Source organism: Homo sapiens, chromosome 12, assembly GCF_000001405.40.
Source record: "Homo sapiens chromosome 12, GRCh38.p14 Primary Assembly".
Lineage (NCBI taxonomy): Eukaryota > Metazoa > Chordata > Mammalia > Primates > Hominidae > Homo > Homo sapiens.
In genome coordinates, this window is record NC_000012.12 from 94,002,637 (window position 1) to 94,012,074 (window position 9,438).

General features: G+C 38.7%; 1 long non-coding RNA gene and 1 pseudogene across 1 annotated transcript in view, besides 1 other annotated feature; both read right to left on the reverse strand.

Annotated features, from left to right (window-relative positions):
• Positions 1 to 8,707, reverse strand: part of LOC105369912 (uncharacterized) — a 41,668-nt gene extending 32,961 nt beyond the window's left edge. Inside the window, exon 1 of the long non-coding RNA XR_001749263.2 lies at positions 8,620 to 8,707. This is a non-coding gene — a long non-coding RNA (uncharacterized LOC105369912). The remainder of the gene's footprint in view (positions 1 to 8,619) is intronic.
• On the reverse strand, positions 6,103 to 6,411 carry RN7SKP263 (RN7SK pseudogene 263; annotated as a pseudogene).
• Positions 7,737 to 8,031: an enhancer, noted in NCBI's record as "tiled region #1370; K562 Activating non-DNase unmatched - State 21:Repr". NCBI's record gives its function as "activates a minimal TATA promoter and a strong SV40 promoter by Sharpr-MPRA in K562 cells {active_cell/tissue: K562}" and the evidence as "EXISTENCE:reporter gene assay evidence [ECO:0000049][PMID:27701403]".
• Positions 8,708 to 9,438: the final 731 nt, after the last annotated feature.

Consider the following 9,438-nt stretch of genomic DNA (forward strand, 5'->3'; position numbering starts at 1 on the left):
CTTCATCCATGTCCCTGCAAAGGACATGAACTCCTCCTTTTTATGGCTGCATAGTATTCCATGGTGTATATGTGCCACATTTTCTTAATCCAGTCTATCATTGATGGACATTTAGGTTGGTTTCAAGTCTCTGCTATTGTGAATAGTGCTGCAATAAACAAACATGATTTACAATCCTTTGGGTATATGCCCAGTAATGGGATTGCTGGGTCAAATGCTATTTCTAGTTCTAGATCCTTGAGGAATTGCCACACTGTCTTCCACAATGGTTGAACTAATTTACACTCCCACCAACAGTGTAAAAGGGTTCCTATTTTTCTACAACCTCTCCAGCATCTGTTGTTTCCTGAATTTTTAAAGATCACCATTCTAACTGGTGTGAGATGGTATCTCATTGTGGTTTTGATTTGCATTTCTCTAACGACCAGGGATGATGAGCATTTTTTCATATGTCTGTTGGTGGCATAAATATCTTCTTTTGAGAAGTGTCTGTTCATGTTCTTTGCCCATTTTTTGATGGGGTTGTTTGCTTTTTTTTTTTTTTTTTTTTGGAAACTTGTTTAAGTTCTTTGTAGATTCTGGATATTAGCCTCTTGTCAGATGGATAGATTGCAAAAATTTTCTCCCATTCTGTAGGTTGCCTCTTCACTCTGATGATAGTTTCTTTGCTATGCAGAAGCTCTTTAGTTTAATTAGATCCCGTTTGTCAATTTCGGCTTTTGTTGCCATTGCTTTTGGTGTTTTAGACATAAAGTCTTTGCTCATGCCTATGTCCTGAATGGTATTGCCCAGATTTTCTTCTAGGATTTTTATGGTCCTAGGTCTTATGTTTAAGTCTTTGATCCATCTTGAGGTGATTTTCGTATAAGGTATAAGGAAGGGGTCCAGTTTCAGTTTTCTGCCTATGGCTAGCCAGTTTTCCCAACACCATTTGTTAAATAAGGAATCTTTTCCCCATTGCTTGTGTGTGTCAGGTTTGTCAAAGATGAGATGGTGGTAGATGTGTGGTGTTATTTCTGTTCCTTTGGCCCATATCTCTGTTTTGGTACCAGAACCATGCTGTTTTGGTTACTGTTGCCTTGTAGTAAAGTTTGAAGTCAGGTAGCATGATGCCTCCAGCTTTGTTCTTCTTACCCAGGATTGTCTTGGCTATGCAGGCTCTTTTTTAGTTCCATATGAAGTTTAAAGTAGTTTTTTCCAGTTCTGTGAAGAAAGTCAGTGGTAGCTTGATGGGGATAGCATTAAATCTATAAATTACTTTGGGCAGTAAGGCCATTTTCACAATATTGATTCTTCCTATCCATGAGCATGGAATGTTTTTCCATATGTTTGTGTCCTCTCATATTTCCTTGAGCAGTGGTTTGTAGTTCTCCTTGAAGAGGTCCTTCACATCCCTTGTAAGTTGGATTCCTAGATATTTTATTCTCTTAGTAGCAATTGTGAATGGGAGTTCACTCATGATTTGACTCTCTGTTTGTCTGTTATCGGTGTATAGGAATGCTTGTGATTTTTGCACATTGATTTTGTATCCTGAGACTTTGCTGTAGTTGCTTATCAGCTTAAGGAGATTTTAGGATGAGATGATGGGGTTTTCTAAATATACAATCATGTCATCTGCAAACAGAGACAATTTGACTTCCTCTCTTCCTATTCAAATACCTTTATTGCTTTCTCTTGCCCTGGCCAGAACTTCCAATACTATGTTGAATAGGAGTGGTGAGAGAGGGCATCCCTGTCTTGTGCCAGTTGTCAAAGGGAATGCTTCCAGTTTTTGCCCATTCAGTATGATATTGGCTGTGGGTTTGTCTTAAATAGCTCTTATTATGTTGAGATACATTCCATTAATACCTGGTTTATTGAGAGTTTTTAGCATGCAGGGCTGTTGAATTTTGTCGAAGGCCTTTCCTGCATCTGTTGAGATAATCTTGTGCTTTTTGTCATTGGTTCTGTTTACGTGATGGATTATGTTTATTGATTTGCATATGTTGAACCAGCCTTGCGTCCCAGGGATGAAGCCCACTTGATCATGGTGGATAAGCTTTTTGATGTGCTGCTGGATTTGGTTTGCCAGTATTTCATTGAGGATTTTCACACCAATGTTCATCAGGGATATTGACCTAAATTTCTCTTTTTTTGTGTGTCTCTGCCAGGCTTTGGTATCAGGATAATGCTGGACTCATAAAATGAGTTGGGGATGATTACCTCTTTTTGTATTGATCAGAATAGTTTCAGAAGAAATGCTACAATCTCCTTTTTGTACCTCTGGTGGAATTAGGCTGTGAATCCCTCTGGTCCTGGACTTGTTTTGGTTGGTAGGCTATTAATTATTGCCTCAATTTCAGAACCTGTTATTGGTCTATTCAGAGATTCAACTTCTTCCTGGTTTAGTCTTGGGAGGGTGTATGTGTCTAGGAATTTATCCATTTCTTCTAGATTTTCTAGTTTATTTGCATAGAGGTGTTTATAGTATTCTTTGATGGTAGTTTGTATTTCTGTGGGATCGGTGGTGATATCCCCTTTATCATTTTTTATTGCATCTGTTTGATTCTTTTCACTTTTCTTCTTTATTAGTCTTGCTAGTGGTCTATCAATTTTGTTGATCTTTTCAAAAAACCAGCTCCTGGATTCATTGATTTTTTTGAAGTTTTTTTTTTTTGTGTCTCTATCTCCTTCACTTCTGCTCTGATCTTAGTTATTTCCTGTCTTCTGCTAGCTTTTGAATTTGTTTGTTCTTGCTTCTCTAGTTCTTTTAATTGTGATGTTAGGGTGTCGATTTTAGGTCTCTCCTGTTTTCTCTTGTGGACACTTAGTGCTATAAATTTCCCTCTATACACTACTTTAAATGTGTCCCAGAGATTCTAGTACATTGTGTCTTTGTTCTCATTGGTTTCAAAGAACATCTTTATTTTGCCTTCATTTTGTTATTTATGCAGTAGTCATTTAGGAGCAGGTTGTTCTGTTTCCATGTAGTTGTGCGGTTTTGAGTGAGATTTTTAATCCTGAGTTCTACTTTGATTGCACTGTGGTCTGAGAGACAGTTTGTTGTGATTTCTATTCTTTTACATTTGCTGAGGAGTGTTTTACTTCCAACTATGTGGTCGATTTTAGAATAAGTGTGATGTGGTGATGAGAAGAATGCATATTCTGTTGATTTGGGGAGAAGAGTCCTATAGATGTCTCTTAGGTCCACTTGGGGCAGAGCTGAGTTCAAATCCTGGATATCCTTGTTAATTTTCTGTCTCATTGATCTAATATTGACAGTGGGGTGTTAAAGTCTCCCACTATTATTATTGTGTGGGAGTCTAAGTCTCTTTGTAGGTCTCTAAGGACTTGCTTTATGAATCTGGGTGCTCCTGTATTGGGTGCATATATATTTAGGATAGTTAGCTCTTTTTGTTGAATTGATCCCTTTACCATTATGTAATGGCCTTCTTTGTCTCTTTTGATCTTTGTTGGTTTAAAGTTTGTTTTATCAGAGACCAGGATTACAACTCCTGCTATTTTTTGCTTTCCATTTGCTTGGTAAATCTTCCTCCATCCCTTTATTTTGAGACTATGTGTGTCTTTGCATGTGAGATGGGTCTTCTGAATACAGCACACCAATGGGTCTTGACTCTTTATCTGATTTTCCAGTCTGTGTATTTTAATTGGGGCATTTAGCCCATTTATATTTAAGGTTAATATTGTTATGTGTGAATTTGATCCTGTCATTATTATGCTAGCTGGTTATTTTGCCTGTTAATTGATGCAGTTTCTTCATAGCATCGATGGTCATTATAATTTTGGCCTGTTTTTGCAGTGGCTGATACTGGTCGTTCCTTTCCATGTTTAGTGCTTCCTTCAGGAGCTCTTGTAAAGCAGGCCTGGTGGTGACAAAATCTCTCAGCATTTGCTTGTCTATAAAGGATTTTATTTCTCCTTGACTTATGAAGCTTAGTTTGGCTGGATATGAAATTATGGGTTAAAAATTCTTTTCCTTAAGAATGTTTAATATTGGCCCCAACTCTCTTCTGGCTTGTAGGGTTTCTGCAGAGAGATCCACTTAGTCTGATGGGCTTCCCTTTGTGGGTAACCCGACCTTTCTTTCTGGCTGCCCTTAACATTTTTTCCTTCATTTCAACCTTGGTGAATCTGATAATTATGTGTCTTGGAGTTGCTCTTCTCAAGGAGTATCTTTGTGGTGTTCTCTGTATTTCCTGAATTTGAATGTTGGCCTGCCTTGCTAGGTTGGGGAAGTTCTCCTGGATAATATCCTGAAGAGTGTTTTCTAACTTGGTTCTGTTCTCCCTGTCAGTTTCAGGTACACCAATCAAATGTAGATTTGGTCTTTTCACATAGTCCCATATTTCTTGGAGGCTTTGTTCGTTTCTTTTCACTCTTTTTTCTCTAATCTTGTCTTCTCACTTTATTTCATTAATTTGATCTTCAATCACTGATATCCTTTTTTCCGCTTGATTGATTTGGCTATTGAAGCTTATGTATGCTTCACGAAGTTCTTGTACTGTGGTTTTCAGCTCCATCTGGTCATTTAAGCTCTTCTCTACACTGTTTATTCTAGTTAGCTATTCATCTAACCTTTTTTCAAGGTTTTTAGCTTCCTTGCGATGGGTTAGAACATGCTCCTTTAGCTCAGATAAGTTTGTTATTCCTGACCTTCTGAAGCCTACTTGTGTCAACTTGTCAAACTCACTCTCCATCCAGTTTTGTTCCCTTGCTGGTGAAGAGTTGTGTTCCTTTGGAGGAGAAGAGGCTTTCCAGTTTTTGGAATTTTCAGCCTTTCTGCTCTGGTTTCTCCCCATCTTTGTGGTTTTATCTACCTTTGGTCTTTGATGTTGGTGGCCTACAGATGGGGTTTTGGTGTGGATGTCCTTTTTGTTGATGTTGATGCTATTCCTTTCTGTTTGTTAGTTTTCCTTCTAACAGACAGGCCCCTCAGCTGCAGGTCTGTTCGAGTTTGCTGAAGGTCCACTCCAGACCCTGTTTTCCTGGGTATCACCAGCGAAGGCTGCAGAACGACAAATATTGCTGCCTGATCCTCCCTCTGGAAGCTTCATCTCAGAGTGGCACCCAACTGTATGAGGTGTCTGTTGGCCCCTACTGGAGGTGTCTCCCAGTCAGGCTACACAGGGGTCAGGGACCCACTTGAGGAGGCAGTCTGTCCGTTATTGGAGCTCAAACGCCATGCTGGGAGAACTACTGCTCTCTTCAGAGCTGTCAGGCAGGGATGTTTAAGTCTGAAGAAGCTGTCTGCTGCCTTTTGTTCTGCTATGCCCTGCCCCCAGAGGTGGAATCTAGAGAGGCAGTAGGCCTTGCTGAGCTGTGGTGGGCTCCGCCCAGTTTGAGCTTCCTTGCCACTTTGTTTACACTGTGAGCATAGAACCACCTACTCAAGCATCAGCAATAGCGGATGCCCCTCCCCCCCGCCAAACTCCTGTGTCCCAGGTCGATCTCAGACTGCTATGCTAGCAGCAACCAAGGCTCTGTGGCCGTGGGACCCACCGAGCCAGGCATGGGAGGGGATCTCCTGGTCTGCTGGTTGCAAAGACCATGGGAAAAGCACTTGGGCAGGAGGGTACTGCTCCTCTAGGTACAGTCATTCACAGCTTCCCTTGGCTAGGAAAGGGAAATCCCCCGACCCCTTGTGCTTCCCAGGTGAGGCAATGTCCTGCCCTGCTTCAGCTCACCCTCCATGGGCTACACCCACTGTCCAACCTGTCCCAGTGAGAAGAACTAGGTACCTCAGTTGGAAATGCAGAAATCACCCTTCTTCTGCTTCGATCTCGCTGGGAGCTGTAGATAGGAGCTGTTCCTATTCGGCCATCTTGGAAGCAACTGATAATGTTCTTTTCCGATTCAGCTTCAGTTTGGTTATTAAATTATGCTAGTTTCATATGAATTGGGAAATTTTTAATGTTTACATTTATGAATTACGATTTACCAGAATTCTCTATTCTTAAAGCTAGCTAAAACTCAGGTTTGAAATTACCTGATCCTGAGGCCTCTAACACAATAGTGTATTAACTATCTATCCCAAACTTTTTGTGACAAATGATCTCTTAAAATTTTCTACTACTTAGGCCACTTTTGAGAACTTAAAATTTATAAGAGAATCCTTTGTGTATTATAGGTTTTCAAATTTATTGTCAAAGAGTTGCACGTACATTTTATTATAATATTTTTTATTTTGAGAGCTTGTTTGGAGGTTTGAGCAGGGAAACACAGCTACTCATATACCCTTAACCTAAGTCCTTCTCGATCAGGAATGGTCATCATCTTCAACTGAGCATGCAGCTTTGGGAAGGAAGCACATGGAGTGGTGAGGGAGGAATGGGACACCTGCCTAGCCAGCCTGATCAGCAGCCCTGGCAATCAGTGGGTGATGGATGTCCCAGAAAGTTCACCCTCACATCCACCTTTTTTATTTTGTATCTGTGATTATGTCTTTTTGTTCATTCCAAATGTGCAAATTTTTATACTTTTTTCATAATCACTCCTGTGATTTACATATTTATTTCATTGATCAAGAAGTAGCTTTTGAATTTAGTTCACCTTTTACTATTATTTTATTTTCTGATCATTAATTTCAGCTTTTTTCTTTATAACTTTCATTTTTAGCTTATTTCCTTGTTCAGATTTTAATTTTTTAAGAAAAGTACTACCATTTTGTAAATGTTCGTCTTCTTAAATAGCAGAGATAATTGCAACTATAAGTTTTTCTTTATCAGTCTTTCATGTCTTATGGTGTAAATGGACTCATTTTCATTACTTTCTATTTATAGAAATTTATAATATATATTTTGTCACTGCTCCACACTATTTATCTTCAGACACATAAAGTTATGGTTCTATATTCTCTTTTTGGTTGATCTCACCTACTGCTATGATTTAAGCTACCACTTTTAAGCTGATGGTTTCCAAATTTTCCAGAAGCTGCAGGCTCTGATATCTACCTTGCCTCGTGTATATAACTGGCTCAATATGCTTAAACTTGTCAACGTTTCCCCAAATCAGCAATAACTATATATTTTTCTCAATTATTTGTATCATTATCCACCTAGTCACTCAAGTTAGAAATAGAAATCATCTTTCAACTCTGCCTTGCCCCTCACACCCATATCCTACCAAACACCAAATCCTGATGACTTTACCTTCTGTATAAAGTTTATCTTCTGCTGTTGCTGCCCCAGTTTTAACCCTCATCATTTATGGTAGGTTATTTCAAAGGTGCACCTTTGATCAAGGACTTTTCCAACACAAACCCTACACAGCCTACAAGGCTCTTTATATTCCCTGCTGAAAAGAAAAGCAACTACCAACATAAATAACAGTGTGAACCATTTAATGAGTTATTCTATTAATGTGCTTTTGTATTAAAAAAAGATATGTAAAGCACTGGGTAGAGAAAATGACTAAAATTTATTCTCTATCTCCTGTGAGCCTAGTCTTGTGCTACGGTGTTATCATCTTATCTCATTTAATATTATAATATGCTTGTGGGTTGGGCAGTTAGGAATGCTTTCAGCTGCAAGTATCAGAAAATCTCACTGATGGTAGTGTAAATCATAAAGACAGTTCATTCTCTTCTGTTACAAAAGTCCAGAAGTTGGTGTTTCCAGCTCAACCATGCCATCGAAGACTCCTAAACTCTATTTTTCCTTTTGCTGTACTTAACACATTGCTTTCTCAACCTTATGCCTGTTTCTTTGTAGAAGCATGAGGGCTAATGAAGCTCTAGCTTTCACAGGGAAAAGAGAAAACAGGTGTTGCTGGTGTGCTCTCTTTCTGAGTCTGGCCCCTTGACAAGGAAGCAAAAGTTCCTCCAGAAGCCTCCAACAGGTTTCTATTTACATCTGAATGGCTAGACTAGGCCACCTGGCTCCTCCCAGTTGCATGGGAGATGAGAGAGCAAAGACTTAGGGTTTCCAGTCTCTATGGTGAATGGCAATCAGGGAGAGGGGGAATGGGAGTGGCTACCAGATGAGCCCAGGATAGAGACTTCACATCTGCGATTGTAGATGTGGTCAAAGATGCCCGAAGGGCTACTGCTGGTAATTGGTGGAACGTGGATTGGGAATTAAGTTCTGTTTCCAAAGTTAATGCTGTCTTCTCTATACCACTCAGTCTCTCCAAATACACTTTCTAAGAATAGAATTTCAGATATTTAGACATGATTTGAGTGACATTTCTTGGCACCTGCTGATTTCTCCAAAATCACACAATAATATGTTCTCAGACATTGGATAGAATTATGCTAGAATGTTCTAAAGATGAAACCACCCTCTTACTTCTTTGATGAAGCCACATGTAAACTGTGTTCCTTTTGTAAACTGAAACATTAGGGACTATACTAAACTTGTCTTAGATTGACTTTAAAGTATAGAACTTAAAAAGAAACCACATTCAAAGTATTTAAACTTGTATGGTATGCTTTCTCTGACCTTTAGATCCCCAGTTGGGAATCCTTGCCAAATTTAATCTTTTAGTTGTGAATAAGCTTTTGAACACAGTCATCCTGACCTTTGGACATGTCACCTTGCCTAATGAATAGCTTGTCACTTAATTAATAATGATGGTTAAACCTCCTCTAATATATTGGAGAAAAAAGTTTTAAATACTCACTTTACAGTTATTCATTTCAACACAGAATTCATAAGGAGGGAAGGTCTGCACATGAAACTTTATATCTTATACTCCTTTTCTCTTTGACTTAATAAATGAGAATCCACAAGGCAAAGGTTCAATGTTTTGCTGCTGTAAAAAAGATTTAAACCTTTTACTAGTTACTGTGTCACAATTGTGACCTTACAATGAGAAGATTATGACTTTGGGTCATAAGAAGTGGAGGAAGTACATATATAAACAGTAAAAACATAAATGTGTACTAATTCTGACCTCATTGGAAATCATTCTTTCCTAACAGTAATTTTCAGTTCCACCTGCTGAAACTCATTTTCTATAAAAATGAAGCCACAGGCAACTTAATAGTCAAGGTTACAATAAAAAGGGGTCTCAAAAACATGTCATTGGTGAACAATTTTTTTTTGCAAATCTCAAATCTTTTTCTTTTGAAGCTAACCAATCTTGACCATTAAAATGGACTAAAAAGACCTGCATCCACCATCAAAGACTGGATGATCAAGAACATTCATGTCACTCTCTTAGCACCATTAGGTTAAAAATTGCTATATTGTTTCCAGACTTCCTGATAGTTTTAATGATGTCTTCATTTTTCTTTTAAATGTAGACAGCCAATTTTCCTATGATGGGAGCATATTACTACTGGCGAAATAAGACATCTTGCATAGAAATGTTTGATGTCTTTGAACAAGGGACAGCCATTTCTTTACACAGTCTTCCCAAAAGCATTTGAAAGACTTGCATTTCTGCTGCTACATGAGTTTTCAGAAAAGAAAAAATGTTAGCAAAAACAATTATGTA